Source organism: Homo sapiens, chromosome 11 (genome assembly GCF_000001405.40).
Source record: "Homo sapiens chromosome 11, GRCh38.p14 Primary Assembly".
NCBI classification, from domain to species: domain Eukaryota; kingdom Metazoa; phylum Chordata; class Mammalia; order Primates; family Hominidae; genus Homo; species Homo sapiens.
Genome location: NC_000011.10, coordinates 89,761,396 through 89,787,386, shown reverse-complemented (window position 1 = coordinate 89,787,386; position 25,991 = coordinate 89,761,396). Strand labels below are relative to the sequence as shown.

At 39.3% G+C, this 25,991-nt stretch overlaps 1 protein-coding gene and 2 pseudogenes across 1 annotated transcript in view; 1 reads left to right on the top strand and 2 right to left on the bottom strand.

The window, feature by feature from the left end:
* Positions 1-20,936, top strand: part of TRIM49 (tripartite motif containing 49) — a 42,125-nt gene extending 21,189 nt beyond the window's left edge. Inside the window, exons 4-6 of the mRNA XM_024448617.2 lie at positions 18,551-18,573; positions 19,101-19,198; positions 20,314-20,936. Coding sequence (XP_024304385.1) covers positions 18,551-18,573; positions 19,101-19,198; positions 20,314-20,795 — 603 coding nt within the window. The 3' untranslated portion in view covers positions 20,796-20,936. The remainder of the gene's footprint in view (positions 1-18,550; positions 18,574-19,100; positions 19,199-20,313) is intronic.
* Positions 17-539, bottom strand: ANKRD33BP7 (ANKRD33B pseudogene 7; annotated as a pseudogene).
* On the bottom strand, positions 4,976-10,406 carry TRIM64DP (tripartite motif containing 64D, pseudogene; annotated as a pseudogene).
* Positions 20,937-25,991: the final 5,055 nt, after the last annotated feature.

The following is a 25,991-nucleotide window of genomic DNA, read 5'->3' as shown; positions in this document are numbered from 1 at the left end:
CCAGAATTTCCTGAGTCGCCAGGATTTCCTGCACCGCCAGCCGCCTCTTCCCCACGCACAGGGTCCTCTCGGGGCACACGGTCTGGCACGCGAAGGCCACGGCGGGGCTGTTAGAGGCTCGTGGTCATCCTGACTATGTGGTCCAGGGCGCCCCGGTCCTCTGGGCCACGCACGGCGCCCGGCGTCAGCGCGGACAGCTCGCAGTCCCTGACCCTCTGCAGGCAGTTTTTGGAGCCCTCGGGCTTCTGCGCCCTCTCGTGGAGCGGAGGCAGCTCAAGCTGGTACTTTTCCCCCAACCGCTCCCGGCAGGGGCGCTCCAGGAGCCTCTGCATGAGGCGGACGTGTAAGTGGCCACTCCTCTGGCGACATCCCACGGCAGGGACCCTCGTGTGGACACCCGCCCCTACTAGCTCAGGGCTCCGATGTGATCGGTTCGACCCTGCATGGCGGCTTTCAACCCAAACGCATCCCTCCTTCAAGGTCAAGACCCAGGACATAGTTCACAAGTAGTTGGTGATGATAGCGTGCCCTGACTGGGCCTGAACAGCCTCTTTAGTAAAACAGCGCAGGAAAGTCATGAAACAGATGCTCAGCTCCTTTCTTCATTTTCACTTTAATTCCGTGATGCCTCTGTGTCCGTCTGACGACATCTCTCCTGGGGTCTGGGACTCTGCTGGTCTTCAATGCCTACTGAGAAGGGTTCCTGGCCATTATCAGGCATGAAAACCTCAAAGCCCTCCGTCCTCAACGTGGGATCCCTGGGCCAGCGGCATCAGCCTCACCAGGAAACCTGTTCTTCTGCTCATTCTTGGGCCCCACCCCAGGCCTATTCAAAGAAAGACTCCAGGGGCAGGGCCTGGCAGCCTGTTTCCACCAGATCTGTGTTAAAGCTCAAATGAACCAGCCCAGGTGATGCTGACGCAGGAAGGGCAAGGCTGAGAGCCAGTGTCTAAGGCAACAGTGCCCATGGGGCCAGGGGCAGTTCCTGCCTGTGCAGCTATGATTAGGGCTGCGTTCCCCTCCCTGTCCTGCCAGTTGACATCAATGTGGGGGTACTCAGCTAAGGCCACCACGGTATATCCACAAAGTCGTGGTATCAGGCGACATTAAGGCCGGTCCAGCCATTGTGGTCAGTCTCCCGCGCCTTCTTAAAGCTCACCCCACACCGCACCAGCGTCCGCCTCTGCCCCGCGCCTCCAGGACGCCCTCCTCCGGTACGCTCTCCACGCCCTCGACGCCGTGCTCCTCCTCGTCCTGGAAAGGGGTACAAAGAGTCGTCAGAGGCGACGCTGCGAGTGTCGGGCAGACTGGAGAAGTCCTGGAACTCTTTGAATTCAGTGCGGTCCTCCTCGACCTGTGCGCCTAGGAGTGGGGATGGCGGTGGCGGGATCATGCAGCGCGCCCCGCCACCCTGCGGCCGAGTCCCAGCCAGCAGCACCATGCCGGAGGCGTGGGCGGGGGATCGCGGCACCGTCCGGGAAAGCCTAGTGCCCGCCAAGGTCCCTGCCTCTCACTACTGAGACCCCAGAGAAGCCCTAGCTCCCGCCCCAAGCCCGGCGGAAACCTCCCTTCTTTTACATTATTAAGTTTGTTTTTATTTTAATTTTCTTAGGACATTGATAAAATCACTTTCGGATTATTGGGATTAAAAATTAAATAATTTTCAACTTTACTCTTTTTTAAAATTCTCACAATTTATTTTAATGCTTTTATTCTTTTGTAAATTTTAATTATTGTAATTTATATCTTCAATTATTATGGAAGAATTTTAGAAAAGTCTTTTCACATAATAAAGTCTAATTAATGAACTATTATTTATTCTCTCCTCTATCTCAAATACGGACTTTAAACTTTTAGAACACTTTATGTTTTGAGACTCTTGTTACTTATGTGACATTTTAACTATTATTCTTCACTCTTCTAGTGAATTTTTAATGTCATTCAAAGGGTACATCTTTCTATAGTGAGAATTAAACATAGTTCTCAAAAATATTCTCAGATATTTAGAATTTCATCTTCCACTGGCATGTTAAGTATGTTCTCCTTCCCTTCTAATGCATATTTTTCCCCCAAGTCCTGGTGTTATACTCCTTTTTCGCCCTCCATTCAAGAGGTGATTTTATTTATTTATTTATTTATTTATTTATTTATTTATTTATTCACTGAGGCAGAGTCTCACTCAGTCTGTCACCGAGGCTAGAGTGCAGTGGCATGATCTCCATTCATTGCTATCTTTGCCTCCTCGGTTCAAGTGATTATCCTGCCTCAGCCTCCATAAAAAATCTGTAACCAGGCTATTGATAAATAACTTCTTTTAGGGATAAAAACCTCAGAAAGTTCAAGATTTCTGGATTAATGATTGACAATGTTCTTAGTGATCTCTCTGATTTATTTCAATTGTAAGTAATTCTTGGTGATATTCTAACATAAATTCTGACAGATGAAGATAATAAATGAATTAAGTATCTCTAGGAGAATCAATACAATAAGATTATCTTGGTTAAATGGTTGAGAAAACATGGTAAATAGACACAAAAACTTTTTCATCTTCCAAAATCAGAGTCAAATACTAAATGATCATAAAGTAGCTAATACTGTCTTTCTGCAAAGTGAATCTGAGCTAAATTAAAAGAATGTCAGGAATAAATTTTTCCTTGAAAACTAGGAACAAATAATGTAATTACATTATGAGGCATTGACTGCTGCATAGAGTTCTAGCATCAACAGAAAAGCTCACAAAACATAGGAGAAAATCAAAAAAAGGAGTGCTGGGTTGGAGCCCTAAGGTGAATAATTTTATCATCTCAGATCGCTTGGAAAAAAGCAGCAAGTCCAAAAGAAGCTGGTGATAAGCTTTCTCTCTGCTAACCCCTAATGTTCTGCATGAAATGTGTGAAGGCAGAAGAGAGACAGTTTATTATAGTCTACATGGTATAGAGTGAAGGAATAAGAGAACATTTCTGATAAGTGTTTTCAAAATTTGGAGAATCATTCCTATCTAAATCATTCATTTAAGGGACTAAAATACAAGTATGATGTTTCTTGCCATCTAACCCTCAGCTAGCCAGGCTCTAAAAAGGACAACACTGGACACCTCGACAGTGGTAAAAAGCAGGGTTTACTCACTCTTGAATACTAAGAAATGGTGCTAACCTTAGGCAGCAGCTTATCTATTTGGTTGAGGTTCAGCTTTGTTTCATTGAACAAATCTCTTGGGTTATTTTCAGTTGTGCCAGTCATTTAATTTGTTTTCTGAATCAAATGTTAAGAATAAATATGGTTTTGAGTGTAAACAGCATTCCCAGATATATCTTACAACTTGGTGTGCCATCTGCCTAATTTTGAACCTATAGGATGGGAATAAATGCATTGTGAAAAACACCAGGTGATTTCCTTAAAGCCAAATACTCTTGTCCCTCCTACTTTTCTCCCGGCTTTCCTGCTGCATGGGACATGGCAATAAATGGGAGTTTCCTGCACACAGAGGTAAAATTCACTGGTTGAAGATGTCAGTTTTCTTCTTGACCAACTCCTATATTGGTACAAACATGTGAGAGAAATGCATCTTCTGAATCATTTCAAATTTGTGGTCTTTGTTAGAGCAGGTAAGCCGGTGCCCTAGGAGATGTAGCTATTACATTCTATTATAGAATTTTCCATTCTCTATCATCTGGATTCTTATTTAAAGTGTAAACTAATTTTGTTCTTTCTACTGCATAGGAAGGTTTATACCACTTTATGCTTAGCAAGTAATTAAATTTATATGTCAGTTTAAGGCCAGTCTCCACTATTCTAAGTCCTGCTCCTCTACCCCATCATCTTATATAGGAACCTTCATCTTTCAAAGGTTTATATTAAAAAACCTAAGACAATTGAAATCAACCCTATAAAAATTATGCTACAATTATTTTAAACCCTAACATAATAGTATTATCTTTGATATCAATCTGAAAATCAATTTATGTCTTATCTTTTGATAGATATTCATTAGTATGTTCTATCCTATTTTGTTACGTACATTTTGGAAAAGTTTCTCAATGTTAGAATAATATTTATACATACTAACTCCTCTACTTAATCCATTTATTCATCTTATTTATTGTATAATCTATTCTAAAAATCGCATTCGATAATGGTAATATATTAGCAAAGAAGACAAATACTGCCATTGCCCCCTTGGACTTTTCAATCTGGTAGTAATAAGTATAAGAGTTTTCTGAATGTTATAATCTGATATAATATACTTGAGAAGATGTAATAGCAGAGCAACCCAGCACTGAAAAACTTTTGTATGAGCTGAAATGCGATTAATAACTAGGATGTTGAGAAATAATAAAGTCTGTGAGGTCAACTTAACTTGGTCAGACTTAGAAAGAAAATAAGCACACTTCTTTATTCTTTGTAAGATGAGATATCCACCACTTCATTTTTCTACCCCAGCCTGGTTCAAATATACAAGTAAGACAAATGGTTTACAGTGTGCACAAACTGAAAACATACTCTCTGAAAAATAAATCAGATTAAAAAAAGAACTTATGTTGTATGATTTTATTTACCCGAATGCAAAAACATAAAAAGTAGATTAAGTGTTCTGAAGGAATGGGGGAGGGTGAATGCAGAATAAATGTTAAGGGGTATTGGGATTCTTCTGGAAGTGATAAAAGTGCCCAGGCAGAAGAGAGCTCTGATGGCTGCTCAAGTGTGATATACTAACAATCTCTGAATTAAATACATTAGAACATGACTTTCACAGTAAGTGAATGAATCTCAAAAAACTTGTACAAAAAAAGCCATTATTGATGTTCTAGTAAAGATTCCACAATAATTTATTAATTAAAATAACTTAATTAATGAATGTATACATTCAAGGTGGTTATCCCATTTATAACCATAAAGTAATTACATTCCATGAAGTTACAGTGCGCTCACAGGCTCTCACACATAGTGTCTTAGGACAGTATTTGCCTTATATATGGGAGGTCACAATAAATCATCATGAAACCAACTTTTCATGTACAACCAAAGCAAAAGAAAGGCCTCAGAGGGGACGAGAAGGAGGAAGGAGGAAAACCATAGATAAGAGAACCTTTAGAAACATCAAAAAAACTCACAGATCCATTATCATAATCCAGAAACACCCCAACCCGACCCAGAGGCCTTTGCACATACTGAATTAAAGGTGGAGAGTTGGTGGAGAGACTATAGTGATTGCTCCTCTTTGAGGAAATTAAAAAAAATCTTTCATCAGAATCAATAACGATATTGGTATCTGCTGTTCTGGAATCTCGACAGACTCCCAGAATCCAGTTGGAGGAGAGGGTCACATCCACCTCCCAGTAATGCTTGCCGGAGGTGAATGCTTGTGCTCCCCACACAGCAAAGCTGTCCACTCCCTGGGGATCCGTGGGAGCACTGAGATGGTCATCTCCAAATATCACATATCTCACATCCTCAGAAAGGCTTATATAGCAAGGAGTCATTTCCGTACTCAGAGCATTATCCACTGACAAGGAAAAAAATATTATATTAGTGAGTGTTATGAGGGACAGAGGCTCTGTGGCCCAATTATTCACTTCATTTGCTCTTCTTCCAAGAAAATACAGAAAAAAGGAAGCCAAGAGAGTTCAGCCCCATGCATCCATGAAGATGAAATGTTATTACACCTCTACAGCATATACAATTATGTATTATTCTTTTAATAATAGAGAAAAAATGTGACCATATCACTGGGCAAAGTAATGATTTAATGTCTATCTCTGCACAGTTTGTTTCAGAACATATCTAAAATGTATTTTTTTCTTCAATAGAAAAATCTTCTTGTATTATTTGTCTTTAAGATCATCAACAGGTAGACATCACTTTGCTGTGATGTGAGTATTTATTGGAATGTAAGTTATGCCTGCTATAGTCTCAAACATCAAAAATTTGGTAGAAATTAACACATGTAAAGTTTATAAGTTTCTGAAAAGAATATTCTGGCTTTACATTATCTGTTTAGCCCCTGATTCAATCTACTCTGGGTTCCTGCTCTCTGCTACCTAGATCTGCTCTCTAGAATGGGCCTAGCATGGTTAGGTCATGTTCACAGATCCCTCACCTTCTGCTTGTTACGAGATGTTTCTGATGGCATTAGAATTGTCTGGATTATGGATATTTTAGTCATTTTCTTTGTTGATCAAAATGTTCTGATTTTGTAAATAATAAAAATTACTTATAGAATGCATGTAAATGCACATAGAATAGAAATAATTAAAAACCATTATGCCAAATCTAAGCCTTCAAAATTGAATTAAATTGAATAAACACGAAATACCGATGCCGCCATGAGAACTAGTGTCTTCATAACTACATGACCTGAATATTCTTTGTCCTCTTATTCTGCAGATAAAGTATGTATCTTGCTTTACATTTTCGTCAAACTGTAAGTCAGGAAATTGAGTTTTGATCATTGTAATATTACTATGCAGGTAGGGAAGATGCACATGTTTCGGAAAACTATGTATTACCTACATGTCAAAACTAACAAAACTTAAATGGGAAAAGCCTCAACCAAGGGAACCAATAAGGAAATAATTTGAGGCTGGAATGCCAAGCAGCTGGCTCTTACCTCTGAAGTTGTTGAGCATGTCTAGGACTCCAGTTATGCACCATGAAGTGAGCTCTGGGTTCACTGGCTGGGGCTTTTGCATCTGTGCCAAATCAGTCCTGCAAAAAAAATGGCCTCAGTTATATTTCCAGGCCCAGAGCTAATCACACAGTCATACAAAGATATCACATTTTCATATAAGATGTTTCCTCAGAATTCTGCCAGTTTTGGTTAACTGGGTATACACTTTATTCCACACTCTAGGGGCAATAAGGATGTTACTTTTTCTAAATTTTACTTGCATAAAAACCCAGTTTCCCCAGATATGTTATTCTCAGACATTATACAACTTCTAAAGTCATTAAAAGTCATTGCCTCCCTCTGCCCATCACACCCCTTGAGGGTATGCAGAAATCCTGGAAATATTTCAGAGAGCAGAAAACTCAGACAAAAACCTTTGGGACCTCAGCCTGCAGTTGTCACTAATGCTAGTCAGTGTCTAACAGAGAATGTTCACTGAGGCAAAAGTCTTTAATCTTTTGTGCAAAACAAAGGAGTCTAATTCCAGCCTGAGAACCTTGCTGCTGAGGGGCCCGAGGTAACCATTTTCCTGAGGTCTTTCCTAGAACTGGGTGTATGGTGATGGAGGAGGCCCGGGTCATTGATGCTTTTAGGAGCAAAATATCCCTCCTCAGCCCTTCCTTAGGGAATCTCTCTCCTCCCTCTGTCTTTTTTTTTTTTTTTAACCTCCCACCCCTCTAGAGTAGAAGACACCTCTATGATTCCTCAGAGTAATTTTGTATTAAGATCTGTGGGGTATGGTTGGTCAGGATGGATGGATTGGGAAACCAAACTTCCGAATGGCAAATTGTTTCTATGTATATTTTAATTCATACAAATTGTAAGATGGAAACTTTCCAGACCAAAGAGAAGAAGACCTCAGGCCCTCTTTTGAAACAAAATCGGAAATAGGCACTGAGAATGATGTCAGTACCTCAAAATGTATACATCCCCTTCATTCACAAGAGAACAAATTTTTCAGAAATAGCATTTTTTTTTAGTGTAAACTCACCTTGCCGATACATTTCCCACATGCTGCAAAAAAATATATATATAATGTTAATTATGAGAGATTTTTCCTTCTGCATCTTTTCTCATACTCTTGTTTCTTTCTGTTTTAGTGTTTTAATAATGTATATCTTTTTATTTCCCTCTAAGGAATCATTCAAGGCTATGTTAATAACAGAACCTCAACTGAACAATGAAAAGCTTCATCAGTGGGCATTAAGAAGAAAGGAGCTCAGCAAGAGAAGATGGAGTAAAGCAAAGATATCTAGGTTTCCAGTGTCATTAATTTCCTAACCTTATTTCCAAGGAAAGCTCTGACCACACATGACAACTATTAAAACAGAGAACCATATGAGAAACAGAGTACATGGACATTGATGAGCAGCTTTGACAAACCTTGCCCAGGCAAGGGGAAACCCCTCAATGTCTTCAGCAAATCACTGCTGTGTGGGACATTAGAGAGTGAGGAGGAACTAGGGCATATACATGGATATTACTAACCTTCCCCTGGCCTAGAGTTCTAATGATCTTAGATGATCTCTCTTGTGGATAGTACTCCAAATTATATTGAAGAGAACTGTGTTATATGTTATCTACTAAATTGGCAAAAATTTCCCAAAGATTACTAAAGTATGCAGTAATAAATGACTGGAAAAATGTAATGGTGGAAGTCAGACAGCATGTGTCACTTAGCTTAGAGCAGTGACATACGCAGGTGATATTTGCATGTCCTGGCAGCGTTGTTCAGCAAAGGCTTCCTGTCTCTGAGGATGGACCCTCCCTCCTCACCTGGAGCAGCTCCACGTCAGGCATGTGGCATGTCTCCCACAGCTCTCTGTACATGTCTTTCATCCTTTCTAAATGTTGGGTCATTCTCACTTGACTGTCTTGTAGTTGTTGGAAAAGCTCTTTTGCTTCTCTTTCCAGTGCCTGCAGATGCAGTTGCTCCTCCTCATTGAGAAATAGATGCATCTTTTGATACTGAATAGTGATTATCCTCTTCCTTAATGACACATAGTCCTGCAGAGATGTTTGGTTAAAAGGATTACATATTCTCACTCTCAATAGAAAACTTCAAATAATTATATGCAGCGTGTAATTAAGCAATTTATAAACTTTCTGCCTCACTCTTGCAAAGAGTCTTGAATATTTGCTATCTTTTTCTGTCCATCTTTTTCAATGTTCCTATTCTCTCTCCCTTTTTAAATCAAACCTATATAAAGACTCCTGGTTTCCGTCACTGTGACGCTTCTTCACAGTTCTTACTGGGTCAATTGTTTCCTCTATTAATCTCTCTTTTAGGATTTTTCCATGTCTGCTTCGCCTACATGTTAAAAAACATTTAGCCATACACCATATTATGCAGTTTTTTTTTACTTTTACTATATTTTTACTCTATATACTATTCTATTTCTTTCATCTTCCTCACACCCAATCTTAGTGAAATGTTGTCTCATCTGCAGTGTCTGAAAAGGTTTATGCCAACCTTCAAATTTGAACTAGAATACACATCATGCCGTTTATCCAATACACTAGAATTAATTTGGCTAGCTTGTGTGGGCTTCTCTGTTTGCAATTCCTGTTATATCAATTGAAATCACTACATTTTCTTGAGATGAAATCACTATCTTTTAACTGGTAGTTTGAATTTAGCTAAAAAGTATAAGCCAACTTTGTGTTTATTTGCGTAAAAACAAAGGAAACATTTTCATTCTTACCACTAATGAACAAAATTTGCTAGTTTCCTGATTTAGATTGTTTCGTGTCTCTTGATTGATTTTCCATAAATAGTCCATTTCCTTTATAAGTTTCTCCTGCAAAAGAAGCAAGAAGCTTAGCAATGATGAAGACAGTAGATTTCATCCCCTTATCAATAAAAAAAAAGGCTGTAATTGAAAGAAACATAAATTAAGTTAGAGTGAAGCGGTCAGATTTTTCCAAGTTAAACGAATATGATTCTAATAATTTGGATGTGAAAAGTGATAGAAACATAATAGAGAGTTTTAAGGGACCCTTCAGATAATATCATCAATTTTCTGAGAAACTGGCTTTTACATAACCTGACTTTGAAAAGTGTTCTTGGTGCTGGCCACCAGCTCCACAGCTCCATTCTATATGTTTGAACAATGTTTTTAAGGAAACCTCCTTTAGCGAAGTCTCAACACAGCTATGATTAGAGTGCCAAATTAGCCAGCAACATTGAAAGGACACATTCATGTGTTATGATTGACATGGAATAATCACCACCTCCATCATCTGCATTCTCATCACCATCATTATCACAGGCCCTCATCATTCTTATTTGGGATTCTGTATAATTCAAACTGCCTTAGAGGCATCACGTACCCTGCATTCCTCAGCAGCCCATCCTATTGGGTGTGGCTGTGAGCCATGTGCTCTGGTGACTCAGAGCAGGGCCCACAGAGCAATCTCTTGTCAGCCTCACAGAAGAGCTCCTTAGTCTCCGCATGGAGCACACAGATATTGTCTGAGCTGTTGATGTTCTGAGGTCTGGTCTGTCTGGCTAGGGAAGACAGCTTTTTGAGTACCACATTGGTGTTGAAGTTGGGCTTCTCTGAGGTTTTTCTGCACGAAGGGCAGCGCATTGGTGCTCTGCCTTCTTCTGAGCAGAGGCAGAGGCAGGGCCTGCAAAAGCTGTGCCCACAGTCAATGGTGACCGGTCTATGAAGTAGTTCACGCAAATGCAGCAAATGAGCTCATTCTGGAAGACTCGCAGGGCATCAGAATCCATGTTTCTGAAAATTAAAAAAAAAAAAGTGAGAATTTCTTTCTCTTATTTTTATTTGCCCCGATGAAAAGGAAAAAAAGGCCGGTGGACAATTTTCTTTGTCTACTTGAGCTCTGTCCAACATGTCGAATAAGTTAGCTCCAGTACAAACTGAGACATAGTAAATGCAAACATGCTGGATTTATAAAGTTTTCGCTCAATAGCCATTGAAGATTTGGTTCAGGACTCCCTGACATACCAAGATCCTAAGATGTTCAAGTCTCTTATTAGTAAACGGTGTGGGATTTGCATGTAACGTAAACCTATCCTCCTGAATACTTTATCTCTAGATTACTTTGAATGCCTAATACAATGTAAATGTTGTATAAATACTTGTAATGCCACACTGTTTAGGAACAGCAAGAAGATTAAAAATATGTACAAGTTTGGCAGAGTGCGTTCACTCATGCCTGTAATTCCAGCACTTCGGGAGGCCGAGGCAGGCGGATCATGAGGTCAGGAGATCAAGATCATCCTGGCTAATACGGTGAAATCTCGTTTCTACTAAAAATACAAAAAATTAGCAGGGCGTGGTGGCACGTGCCTGTAGTCCCAGCTATTTGGGAGGCTGAGGCAGGATAATCACTTGAGCCCAGGAGGTGGAGGTTGCACTGAGCTGAGATCGTGCCACTGCACTCCAGCATGGGTAATAGAGTGAGACTCTGTCTCAAAAAAAAGTACATGTTCAGTATACCTGCTTTTTTCTTCCTGTAAATATTTTTTTATCTGAGATTAGTTGAATCCACGGGTATGAAACATGGATATGAACAACCATGATTCAAATGATAAAATGAGACGAGAGTCCTCATGGCATTTTTGTTAAACAAGCCGTGCTCTCAGTCATTCCCAGTTACCTAGACAAGCTTAAAGCCTGGGCGGAGGGTAAAAGCTGGGATGATTTCTGAGTCACTTATATAAGCTAATTGATGAAGAAGCACATTCTGAATGTCATCCTGTCTCTGTCATTCTATCTCTCTCAATAATTCCATGATGATAATATATGAAAGACACTTAGTATCTATGGTATTATTCTATACTCCCTGCCTCCAAACTCACCTGTGAAGTTTGCTCAGACAATTATAAATAAAGTAGCTTTTATCTAAGATTGAGTAATCAGAGTGGACCGTCAACTCCTAAAATTATCAACCATTAAATTTGTCCTTTTAACTTTAATATCAAAACTCTTCCTTTCAATACATTAAATGTAATTAATATCTATTATTTTTAATTTAGGAAAGTTTTTTCCCATTGCCAATTCAGATGATTAGAGAGAACACTTTCACATTCTGAAATAGCCAATATTTCAACTATAATAATTAACAAGAATTAATCAACTGTTAATTATCTTCTAAAATAACAACAAAAAAAGTGAAGATATGTATTAGGTTTTCCACTCTACACTAGAAAATCCAGAAATACAGTTAATGGAAGCATGGCCACCAATTCACCTTTCCCCTTAGTGACTTGGAAGTTGTAGCCTCTGGGAAGCCCTTGCCAGTTGGTTAGGTCTATTGATCTATTTTCTTTCTTTCTATCTTTTTTTTTTTTTTGGTTGTTGTTGTTGTTGAGATGCAGTCTTGCTCTGACTTCAGGCTGGAGTGCAGTGGCACGATTTCAGCTTACTGCAACCTCAGCCTCCCAGGTTCGAGCAACTCTCCTGCCGAGGCCTCCCAAGTAGCTGGTATTACAGGCACCCACCACCACGCCAGGATGATTTTTTTGTATTTTTAGTAGAGACCGGGTTTCACCATGTTGGCCAGGCTGGTGTCTAACTCTAGACCTCAAGCGATCTGCCTGCCTTGGCCTCTCAAAGTGCTAGGCTGCAAACATAAGCCATCATGCCCAGCCGATTAAATCTATTTTCAACAGCTTTCACATCTAGTCTGCAAACTGCAAATTTTGAAGAGACAGCAAATAAGACCTTTGCAACAAGAATTTTCAAAGTAATTCAACATTTTTAACATTTCCTTTGGCGTACGTTACAACCATTACTACATGCCCACATTCTAGTGAACATTTTAGGTATTTTATGGGTTCTATCATTGCATGAAACTATGGAAATATATCTTTTCACACTTAAGAAAAATCTAACAATACAGAAAACAGTCACATCAAAGGAATCAAATAGCAAGGGAACACAAACCATACCTTACAAATTGAAGATACTTTATATTGATTTTCTGTAAAATCACTAAGACAGTTACTTGTTTGCTTAGAAAAGACCCAAGCATGCTGCCAGGTAAATTTAAAGTATTTTGAAGAGAAAAAGTGAGCATGATGGGTTTACTGCAAATTTTATACTCACAAGGCTACTATGAATGGTCTCAGTCTAGAAGCTCTGTAGATATCCAGATTAGAAGTCACTCCTGGCTCTTCAAAGCCCAGCAGTCACAAATCCAGTGGGTCCTCACTGAAGGAGGGAGAAATCTCTGGACAAGCATCCTTTTAAAGTGTATGGGCCCACGGAAGACCACACCCACTTCCTGAGATGGATTGGATTGCATAGAAAGGGATAAATTGGCTGATTAGGTTTATAAAGTATTGAAAACCAGACTTGAGGGCTCAAAGCTCAACAGACAAGTTTGGAATGAGACGCAAGAAAGTTGACTTAACACAGTTTATTCAAAGCAATATTTTAAGTAGCTGGGCAAGGAAGGTGGCTCATGCCTGTAATCCCAGCACTGTGGGAGGCCCACGAGGGTGGATCACGAGGTCAGGAGTTCAAGACCAGCCTGGCCAAGATAGTGAAACTCCATCTGTACTAAAAATACAAAAAATTAGCCGAGTTCGGTGGCAGGCACTTGTAATCCTAGCTACTTGGGAGGCTGAGGCATGAGAATCACTTGAACCTGGGAGGCAGAGGTTACACTGAGCCGAGATAGCACCACTGCACTCCAGCCTGGGTGACAGAGCGAGACTCTGTCTCAAAAGAAAAAAAAAAAAGAAATATTTTAAATACAACAATTATTTCATTAAATATTATCACTTGCTAACTTTTTTTTTCTTTTGAGACGGTATCTTGCTCTGTCGCCCAGGCTGGAGTGCCAGGGCTTGGTCTTAGCTCACTGCAACCTCTGCATCTCCAGTTCAAGTGATTCTCCTGCCCCAGCTCCCAAGTAGCTGGGATTACAGGCACCTGCCACTAAGCCCAGCTAAGTTTGTATTTTTACTAGAGACAGGGTTTCACCATGTTGCTTAAGCTGGTCTCGAACTCCTCACTTCAGGTGATCTGCCCACCTCGGCCTCCCAAAGTGCTGGGATTACAAGCGTGAGCCACTGCACCGGGCCACATGCTAACTTTAAATTTTTGTTTCTCACTCTGTTTTAAAATTATAGTTGCTTATGTGCCTAGCCGTTATTTGTCTGAATATGTTCAAAGATAAAACATTAACTGGGATTACCAACACATCCGTGCTGTGTAACTCTGTTGTTTAAAAAAGTATAGCAAGGAACTCAATTGTGTTTCACATAATTGTATATATAATGGTTGATAGAATTAGTTGTATCAGCCTGATTTTCTTATAGTCTATTTTATGGCTATTTTATGTCTTATAGTCTATTTTATGACTATTTCCTAATGATTGTTTTGTATGAAACTAAAATCTATTTTTTATTCATCCACCTTTTTGAATAATTTTAAAAGTGATACTTTACATATATATGTACATAACTATAACAATGTTATGTATTCATATTTTAAAAATTATATAATAATTATTTACACAATAATAATAATTATTATTACTTTTTTTTTGAGACGCAGTCTCCCTCTGTCACCCAGGCTGGAGTGCAATGGCATGATCTCAGCTCACTGCAACCTCTGCCTCCGAGGTTCAAGTGATTCTCCTGCCTCAGCCTCCCGAGTAGCTGGGATTACAGGTGTCTGCCACCATGACTGGCTAATTTTGGTATTTTTAGTAGAGATAAGGTTTCACTGAGTTGGCCAGGCTGGACTCGAACTCCTGACCTCAGGTGATCTGCTATTATCATTTTAGACTTCAAGTCTTTTTCAAACCAGTTTTTCTGTTCCAAATTGGAGACTTTTTCTTAAGAAATAATTCAAGAAATGAAAATACTATGACAAAATATAGAACTTTGTGACAGTTCTTGGACACTTTAGCAATATATAGCTATTACTTTCAAAAAGATTAATAGAATTCACAATATTATCAGAAATCCATGGAGAGCGTATGCTTCAGTGTACCAGATAGAGCAATGGGCACAACCAAGGTGTCAATTGTTATGCTACTGTGAGCAGCAGAACAATAGCACAAGGGTTCCATCTAATCATTTCAACATGGAAGCAAACTTCTTATTAGGATTTCTTGCTAATATCAAAATATTCAGCTAAAAAAATTTTATTTCCTGGGAAATGATATAAAATATCAATAAGCATGGTAAAATACACTATCACTATGGAATGCCATAATTAGTGCATAAGATAAACACAGGGTTTCACAGAAAGATAAAGTCTTTGAATGTTCACAAAGAGATTCTCAGATTATTTGAATAATATTTAATAAACCTAGAGTTGACCCTTGAACACCATGGTGGTTGGGGTGTCAAGATCCCATGTAGTCAGAAATCAGCATATAATGTTTGTCTTCCTCAAAACTTAGCTATCAATAGCCTACTGTTGACTAGAAGCCTTAATGATAATATTCACAGTTGATTAACGCATATTTTATATGTTATGTGTATACAGTATTTTTACAATAAAGTTAGCTAAAGGAAAGAAAATATTAAGAAAATAAAAAGAAAATATATTTAATATTCATTAATGGAAAACTAAATATAATTAGTGGAAGTGGATCATTATAAGGGTTTTCATCCTCATCATTTTCATGTTGAGTAATCAGAGAAGGAGGAGAAAGAGGAGGGGTTGGTCTTGCTGTCCCAGGGGTGTCAGAAGCAGAAGAAACTCCAATTATAAGTGACTCACAGAGTTCCAACCAGTGTTATTCAAGGGTCAACAGTAAATATAGGTCAAAAGCTTTAAAACTATATTCTCCGATTTTCTAAATAAAATTAAACTACATTACATAAAAAAATTTAATAGGAAATTTCTTGGAATTTCAGGCAGGTAAATTGGGGCGGGGGTGCTGGAAACTATATACTAGATAAACCATTGTACTATTGGATTTCCACATAATTCACATATGTGATTAACACTTCCATAATGAGAGAGGCAGTGCTTAGAGATGTAGCAGAAAAGGTAGCATAGGGTAGTTCAAGATGGGACCTACATGCATGGCTGAAGAATCTGTATGGATCATTTACTGATTCAAACATAAAATGAATACTATGAAGAGAAGAGATGAAATGAAATTACATATACATTCTGAAAGAAGTAAAGATTTCCTGATGGAAAAGTAAAACAAATAATATTAAAGACACTCCTAAGCACTAAGAAAGAAATTGGCTCTGTGTGAAAGAAAGAGATATCATGAGCTTAATTATTGATAAGTCATTTTGATTCTTTAAAGGTGATATCCTTAAGGATAGTACTTACAATACTTTTTTCTTCAAAATATCAAGTGCCTACTGTGTCTTAAGAAACATTCTAAGCCAATGCAGAAATGAACAAATGAGACGGATTTTCTTGCACCTAAAGAGCTAATGAGGTTGCAGGGTGAGAAACACAAGACAACAAGTCAAAATACAACATTGAAAAAGTGAAGCTGGCACAGTGGCTGTGGCCTGTAATACCAGCACTTCAGGATTCTGAAGTAGGAGGATCACTTGTGCTTAGCAGTTCAAGACCAGCCTCACCAACAAAGTGAGAGCTCTTTTCTCTAAGAAAAGAAACAAAATTAGCTTGGGTTGTGGCATGTCCCTGTATTCTCAGACACTGGCTTAGGTGAGAGGATTGCTTGAACCTGGGAAGTCAAGGTTGCATTGAGCTGGTATTGCACCACGCTTAAGCCTGGATGACAGAACAAGACCCTGTTTCGAAAAGAAAAAAAAAATTGATAGAGTGACGCATTGTGATAAGTGCTTTAGAGAAAAATACAGCAGGAAAGGAAAATAAAGAATCATAGACAAAAATTGATTTTTGTTTTGTTTTGTTTTTGTTTTTGAGACAGAGTCTCGCTCTGTCACCCAGGCTGGAGTGCAGTGGCGCAATCTTGGCTCACTGCAAGCTCCGCCTCCCGGGTTCACGCCATTCTCCTGCCTCAGCCTCCCAAGTAGCTGGGACTACAGGCGCTCGCCACCACGCCCAGCTAATTTTTTTTTTTTTGTATTATTAGTAGAGACAGGGTTTCACCGTGTTAGCCAGGATGGTCTCAATCTCCTGACGTCGTGATCCGCCCACCTCGACCTCCCAAAGTGCTGGGATTACAGGCGTGAGCCACCGTGCCTGGCCCAAAATTGAATTTTTAATACTATGGTCAGAAAAGACATAGTATAGAATATATTTGGGCAGATACCTAAAGGAGGCTAGAAACGAAGGTGCGTGGCTATTTCATCTATTTCAGCTTTTTCCTAGCTTTTTAGGAAGTGATAACTACATTAAAAATATCTAAATATAAACTGATTATTTCTCCACACCATATTTGCCCCCATTGTCTATTATGAAGCTTCTGATATAAAGGAGAAAGAATGAGAATACAGAAAATTGAAGCCAGATCTCAAGGTTGAGAGTAACTTATTTATGATCAATAAAGTCTCACAATATGTACGGTAATTTAAGCATGGTAGGTGAGTGTTATTCCGTGTGAAATGAATCAAAATCTTACTCAGAATACTGAAGGTAAATATGTCAAGTGTATATGGAGACCAGAGACAAGTGCTCTGCTGCCTTTGGCACAGAGCACAAGCAACACTTTTAAGCTTCATTACTTGTTTCTCAGTATCAGAGGAGGGGAGAATGTCTGCCTATTGACCTCGACGGCATCCTCCTGCAACTAATCATCCCTCATTCTCCTTGTCCCTGAACTCCCTTGACCCACCCCTCCTTCATTTGATTGGCTCTGTGTACTTGTTAGAATCAGAAGATCTGGGGGAACTGTGGCTTCTAAACATGTACACTGGACTCTACCCATATCCAGCCCTGTGACCCTACAAACGTGCTCAACTGAATTTTCCTCCCATAGAGACACTCTTCCTGCTGAGTTTCTCTCCTGTGCTCCTAGAGCCAAATGGCATCTCGTGTCCTGTCCCTGGATGGCTTAACCCAGGAAAACTCCTGGATCCAAGAGGAGTCAGACAAAGGAATGGTGGCCTTGTGCGTGCTGATATTCTCACAGATGTAAAGGGGATATCCTGAAATCTAGGGTTTCTTCCTTCCCTTTTCCCTCCCTTACAGCTTCTGCTGCTCCTGGGACCTTTGCTCTATCTCTCATCCAGCTCAGACTGTTGCTGGGCCTGAGAGTCTTTGCATAGCCAAGGTGGTTCTCGAAGAACTCTTGTCTGCACGAGGTCTGAATTGCTTCTCCAGAATCTGTAGCATGGGTTTCCATAACTGCAGGAAGATCTAGAGCTACTGGTAACTAGGCAGAGAATGTTCTCATGTGTCTAACATGGCATGACACTCCTCTCCATGAACGGTAGAATAAATGCATTCAGATGAAGCCCTGCCATCATTACTTTGTCAGAAATAGATTCTGTCAATAGGTCTTACTGGTATAAGTGTAAGAGATGAGAATACATTTTAAAAGTGTTGCAGTGATAGTATGTGGTAATTCTAAAGTTTTCAAAACCTAAAGAGCAGATGCGCAGAATAACAACTTGTTGGTTTCTTTGATTCTTTGTTTGTTTGTTTTGAGACAGAGTCTTCTGTCAACCAGGCTGAAGTCCAGTGGCCCAATCTCAGCTCACTGCAACTTCTGCCTCCTTAGTTCAAGCTATTCTCCTGCCTCATCCTCCCTAGTAGCTGGGACTAAAAGCATGCACCACCACACCTGGCTAATTTTTTTGCATTTTTTAGTAGGGATGGGGATTTGCCATGTTGTCCAGGCTAGTCTGGAAATCCTGACCTCAGGTGATCCACCCACCTTGGCCTCCCAAAGTGGTGGGATTACAGGTGTGAGCCACCTCACCCAACAAGAATAACAACTTTCTAAAGGAGTCGTTTTCTCTCTCTCTCTCTCTCTCTCTCTCTCCAGGATTTGGGAGACATGGTGGCAAGGTATGTTAATGGCCATCAATGCAAGCTGGAGCACAAGGCGTGCTGTGAAAAACATCAAGTTGTTTCCAACAAAGGGAAAACATAATTTACTAACACCATAATGTGTCAATGTGATTGTGTGTGTAAGTGTGTGTACTTATGTGTTTGTGTGGTATGTTGAATGTTACCTATGCCTCTTATCAGACATTAAACTTTTCTTACTTTTCCAAGTGACTCAGGGGTTTCTGTTTTGAAGAGTTCAATGCAGAAGTTGCTAGAATACAATTGCCTCTTTTTAGGATTCAGAATCATAATTAGAGATCAACTATTTGGTGGCAAATAGGGAGAGAGGCATTTATCTTTCAGTGGCAGTAGGTTAGAAACGGAGTGAAGAGTTAGAAAGATTCCCTAAGGGCCACAAACCCATCCTAGGATTGTGGAGGTACATTACAATATCAGAAGTGGTTTGAATGAAGCATTTTCTGTTGGAATCTATTTCTTAAACACAAACATCAGAAACTTAACCAACTCAACCTACTTCCTTGCAGGAGTGAGTCCGTGCTGCTGCACATGCCCCAGCCTGTGAATCCAGAGTTCCCTACAGGGCCCATCACAGGACCGGTGGACAGGCTCAACCACTTCCGAGGTGAGTGTGGCCCTCTTGGTGGGATCAACATGCAATGCCTTCAGTTATGGTTTTCTATGGGCAGCCTTCCCAGTGTAACGATTTTTCATCTAGAACAAGAGAATAGTCTGTGAATAGGTATTTATATTTATAGTTTCACTATCCTCAAACAGACAAAACTAAATAAAAGATGGTGGAATCAGCCATATAACAAATTTCTTGGAAAAGTAAAACACGCAGAAGGGCTTTTTAGGACGTAGAACCATTCATGTATGGTTCAATCGTGATACAATTTCATGTATACAATTATTACATGAAGTATACAGAACTGAATTAATTCAGGACGTTTCAATTTCAAATTCAGTGCAGTTAATGACTGATTTGAGTGACAGTGTTTTTTTAAATACATTTCAGGTGAAGTTTCATAGCATTTATAATTTTAATCACGTGCATTTTAATCAACTAAAGCATACATGAGTAACTTATATAACAATGCAAACACTGAGAATCTGTGAACAATAAGAAAGTGATTTGGTGGTTGATGAGGCCTTAGATAGAACTCCAGGATAGATCATGATAAATCCAGCAGATAAAAGAAGTCTGTGCCTGAATCTGGCATGAAAGTCAGATAATTCTGGCAAGGAATCTGCACTTTTCAGAAGGCAGATTCAGATTTTCTCTTTAAGTATGAATTTTCTAGTTTAAGTGGCAGATTATAATATTTCTGGAAAGCGATAACTTTTTTATTTGGGTCTAAGAATGGCTCCCCACCTCATCTCCTGTCCCCAGCCTCCTGCTCTGCCCTGACAGAGAAGAGGCAATGGAGGTTAATTTTATTGCTATGGACTTGGCTGCAGTGCAAGAGGTTCCAGTTTTTCAGTTGTTATGAAAGGTCGCTAACTAGACATAGACATGACCTTCCTCCCCTTTATGCTTTTTGAGTTTATAGAAATTGCGATCATTGAAGTTGAGCCATTTACTTGTGCAGATATCCTAACACCCTTTGATTCCAACATTTTTCCAGGCAGAAGTTACTTTGTAATCTTGACCTGTGTTTTCTAGTGAGAATCTCTTTCTTATCTGAACATAAGAATTTATAAACTGCTTTTCACTGGAACGTTCTCTTTTTTCTACAGTGGAAATTTCCTTCACTTGGGAAGGAACCAATTACAATATCGGGCTGTTTGAGGATGTGAGAAGTTTGATGTTTAGACGTGGATCTTTGAATTCTGACAGATCTGACTATTTTGCTGCATGGGGAGCCTGGGTCTTCTCCTCTGGCAAACACTACTGGGAGCTGGATGTGGACAACTCTTGGGACTGGGCTCTGGGAGTCTGTAAGGACTCCTGGATAAGGAAGAATAGCACAATGTTTAAATCTAAGGACATATTTCTTCTTTTATGTGTGAAGGTGGATAATCATTTCAGTCTCTTGACCACCTCCCCAATGTTTCCTCACTATGTAGAGAAACCTCTGGGCCGAGTTGGTGTGTTTCTTGATTTTGAAAGTGGAAGTGTGAGTTTTTTGAATGTCACCAAGAATTCCCTCATATGGAATTACCCAGCTGGCTCCTTAAATTTTCCTGTCAGGTCTTTCTTTTACACTGGCCACAGATGACAAGGATTAAGAAACCTGACTGTTCGGGAACTCCATATACAGGGGAGCCAGCCCTTCACTGTTGATACAAAGAAATCATACTTTTCAGGCTTTTTTCTACTTTAGTGTCACTTCATTTTATTGCTATTAAGTAGAAGATATGTAAAATGCAAAACATTTTTGTACATTTTCTTACAATTAAAATAATCTCTTATGGCCCATTACCTAAAATATGTATTGTGATTTTCAAGTGTTTGTGAATTTATTGGATGGAATTCTGGAAATATGTGGGTGTGTGATTCCCACTTAATTATCCCATGCAGGAACAAAATTTGCACATCATGGACAGACAGGATTTTGTACAATGCACTTGTAAGTGTGAGTGCTCTCTCCTATTAATACGGTAAATTCTACACCTCATTGCTTTAGGTGGAAAAATTTATTTTACACAGAAGTTTTCACTGAATCTTTGGGCCAGAATAGGAATTTAACAGTCGTGCATCCTATGGCAACAAAAACACATTCTGAGAAATGCATTACTAGGCGATTTTATCATTGTGTGAACATTAGAACACACATAAAAACCTAGATAGAATATCCATCTACAGATATAAGCTAAATGGTACAGCCTATTGCTTCTCTGAGAAGTTGCTAGCAATGTCTCAGCAGGAACCAAAAGGGTTTAACCCACATTGAATTCTGTAGCTGTTTAATAAAGCAAACAGCATCATCCAGGGAAAAATAAACAGATGAGCAGACTGTCTACTTTAAAATGTGTTTATGCTTCCCATTCACACGGATTGTGAATTCTCATTGTTAACCTAGAGTCCCAGCTAGTCAGGAGGCTGAGGCAGGAGAAAAGTGTGAACCTGGGAGGCAGAGGCTGCAGTGAGCTGAGATCGTGCCACTGCACTCCAGTCTGGTGACACGATGAGACTCCATCTCAAAAAAAAAAAAAAAAAAAAAAAAAAAATTAACTTCAAATTCCAAAACACTTAATGTTGCACCCTCCTTGAACAATAACTAAAAAAACTCGTTTCCACTCTGTGAAAATACAATCTTTGAGCTTATAACTGGTATCAGCAGATCAATATAAAAAATACAGTACCAAGCTACACTGGTATATTTCCATTTTAAGAACTCCACAATATCCTCATTGCTGAGAGCATAGTCCTTGCATTAGTTTTCAGTATGCTATGAACAATTATCTGCTGCATGTAAACATGTCTAAATAACTATAGATAAAATACATCAATCATAAATTTCTGTAAAAGATAATAAAATATCTTCTTTAAAAAACAAAACAATAAGCTATTACTGCATTATTTCCAATTTTATGAAAATGGAACAAATATATGGTTGTTGCTAGTCTTGAGTTCATTGCAATAAAAATGGCCCTAGTTCCTGGTTAAAGTCAGCAATCAATCTATTTTCTTCAATAGATGTCTTCTAGTTGTGTAGGCAAGAATTTGTTTTACATGCTATTCTGTCAGTTTATAAAATTATACACCAGAAACTGACCAGTACCACAGTACTCTGTTGCAAACAGTTTTCCATCAGGAGTGGGATCTGAGAAAGCAATTTCTTCTTTACTCAAATATGAGATATATATAAAGTTACTCCTTAGGCATTCAATCATGCGAGAAGCAATTTTCTTCCAACACATCATGCTGAATACCCATATTCGACTGATCCCACAGATTGCAGGCTCTGGTAACGTTGAGCAGCAAGATTCCAATTTTAAATAAATGGGAGGCTATGTTTTTCTCACCTACTTATACAAATTGAGGAGGTAATCAAAACGAAGATTGACACTTTCATCAACTGGATTTCCTCTGTACGTGCAAGAAAGTGCAATCTGTTGCCATCTCCTGTTCAGTGAGAAAGCTGAAAAAACATCCTGAGCAAGAGGACCTGAATGTAAGGAAATGACCTGGTGTTTTCCTCAGTACTTCTGTTCCCATCCTATTGCTTCAAGTTTAGGTATACAGCACACTGAACTGCAAGATGTATCCGGAAGTGCTGAATACACACTAAAATGTTTATTTTTATTTCCTTTATTTTATTTTATTTTTATTTCTTTTGCTAGAGACAAGGTCTCGCTATATTGCCCATGGTGGTCTCGAACTCCTGACCTCAAGCAACTCTCCCGCCTGAACTGCCCAAAGCACTAGGATTAGAGGCATGTGCCACTGTGTCTGGTCTTTTCTTTTTTTGGTCTCAAACTCCTGACCTCAAGCAACCCACCCTCCTCAACTGCCCAAAGCACTGGGATTAGAGGCATGTGCCACCGGTGTCTGGCCTTTTCTTTCTTTTTCTTTTTTTCTTTGATTTAGAAGAGAAAGAAAATTAAATGACAGCACAGCAGAAGAAATGCCCAAGAGCTTGTGTTCAATGAAAATCAGGTGATCCTTTACTGAAGAGTTGCTTTTAGTTAGAACTGGGAATGGGTATTCAGGAATAAGTAAACTCTGCTTTTCACCACTGTCGAAGTGTCCAGTGTTTCCCCATTCAGCAACTGGCTAATTAAGGGTCATATGGCAAGAAGGATCTTATGTGTCTTTTAATCTCTTAAACTGATCACTAACTCAAGGTGATTATACAAATTATGAAAATGCTTATTAGCAATGCTTCCTTATTCTTTCTGTCTGTACTACCTACACTCCTTAGTTAACTTTCTCTCTTCTCCTCCCACACACTTATTTGCAGCACTTTCCTAGGTAACAGGAAAAGTCTATCACCTTCTGATGATTTGTGTCTCTCCAACTGATCTCAGATTATAGAATTTTGCCTTCTGGGCTTTCAACCCAATTCTCCTTTTTATTTCCACCTAAAGTTTCTGAGCTTTCTCTACTGACACTAAAAATTTCCATAAGCAACAGCTATTACACTCTCAATATTACCTTGTTACCAATTTTGTTTGTCACTTATTCAAAGAAAATTTTATAGCTAATCATATTTAGCTTAGATTTACTTGTACATACAGTTGGTATTAGCTACTGTAGACATTTAAGATATTACTTTAATTTTGGAAGAGGGGAAAGTGCGTATTAGTTTGGTAAATTTTCTTAGCCATTAAACCAAAAACTTGTTACATTCCTCTGTTTTGATAACTTCTATTAGAATTATTATCATCTGGGACATTCCTAAAATTGAGAAATAAAATTAAGGTGCAACTACTGGGAACCTTGCCACTTATATCAGAAATCTAGGACTCCTCACCTCCTGAAGAGGTTATTGATCCATTTGCCTTGTCGCATTTTGGGGGACACAAGTTAAATTCTTCACAGAAATAAAATTCAAAGTTAAAAACTGATGTGGAGACATAGTATGTGTGTAGTTCAAACCAGAGAGATGAGATGAAATTGTAAAAGGAAGAGTATACAAAATGAGAAGAGATCATGTTCTGTGATGAAATTGTGGGAAAGCAATAGCATAAAGGTATCACTGAGGAACTTGAGACCAGGAAGAAACTAAGATGTGTTTACCCATGTAGTTAAAAAAAGAAAATTACATGTTGGGAGGCTGAGGCGGGCAGATAACTTGAGGTCAGGAGTTTAAGACAAGCCTGGCCAACATGGTGAAAGCCTGTCTCTACCAAAATTACAAAAATTATCCAGACATGGTGATGGGCACCTGTAATCCCAGCTAGTTGAGACACTGAGGCAGGAGACTTGCTTGAACCCAGAAGGTGCAGGCTGCAGTGAGCTGAGATTGTGCTACTGCACTTCACCCTGGGTGACAGAGTGAGACTCCATCTCAAAAAAAAAAAGAGAGTGCCAGACATGGTCACTTATGCCTGTAATCCCAGCACTTTGGGAGGCCGAGGTGGGCGATTCATGAGGTCAGGAGTTTGAGACCAGCCTGACCAAGATGATGAAAGCCCGTCTCTACTAAAAATACAAAAATTAGCTGGGCATGGTGCATGCCTGTAATCCCAGCCACTCGGGAGGCTGAGGCAGGAGAATTGCTTGAACCCGGGAGGCAGAGGTTGCAGTGAGCTGAGATCGCGCCACTGCACTCCAGCCTGGGTGACAGAGCAAGAGTATGTCTCAAAAAAAAAAAAAAAAAAAAAAAAAAAAAAAAAAAAGAAAAGAAAAAGAAAGAAAGAAAAGAAAAAAATTGTGTGTGGCAAAATAAAGCTAGTAAGAGTTATTTGTTCTAAAGAAAAGCAGCAGGAGTATCTCAGATTAGTATTGAAAAGCAAGGATACCATAAGGAAGAGTTTAGACTATGATAGGAGCTTCACTCGAATGCTGAGTTATAAAAACTGGTCAGGTAGTGGTGTGCAAGATGTTCTATAGGCAGAAAGAGGCAACAGCTAAGAGATTAAAATAATTTCCATCGAAAGGAGCCTTGACTGTCAGTATAGGATACAAGTAACAGAGAGATAGAAGTAAAAACAGTATAAAGAACATCTCTAGCCAAATATTTCAGGTATTACCATCTAATCCCTCAAAAATACTTATCTAGGCCGGGCGTGGCAGCTCACGCCTGTAATCCCAGCACTTTGAGAGGTTGAGAGCAGTGGATCACCTGAGGTCAGCAGTAAGACCAGCCTGGCCAACATAGCGAAACCCCATCTCTACTAAAAACACAAACGTTAGCCTGTAATCCCAGCTACTCGGGAGGCTGAGGCAGGAGAATCACTTGAATCCGGGAGGCAGAGGTTGCAGTGAGCTGAGGTTGAGCCAGTGCACTCCAGCCTGGCAACAGAGTGAGACTCCACCTCAAAAAAAAAAAAAAAAATCTAATGTGTCTAATGTGTTCCCATTTTCTCTAAGCCACAGTTTTCTGAGGTGTGGAAAAAGAAACATGACTAAAATTCCACATGGAATTGTCTTCATTGAGTAAAATTCCTTGGCATATTTAGTTTTGAAGCTGTACATTTGAGTAGGTGACTATGAAGTAATGACAACAGTAACAACAAGTTGATAGTATTCCTACATACAGGAAGCAGCATTTTGCCTTTGTGGAAATAGAAGAAGAGGCATTTGCACAGAGAAGGGCCAAGCACCATCTGATGAGAGATGGGCACCAAGATTGGAAATGGTTAGGGGGAAAGATATGAATAGCAATAGATAATAATCACATTTAATTTAATTTATTTACCAACCCCACCCAATTCAGTGAGGTGTACTTGTATGCAAGATATTGTTTTGTGATTCTTATTGTTGAAATCAAAGAAAGTGAATGATTTTGTATGTGAATTTATGA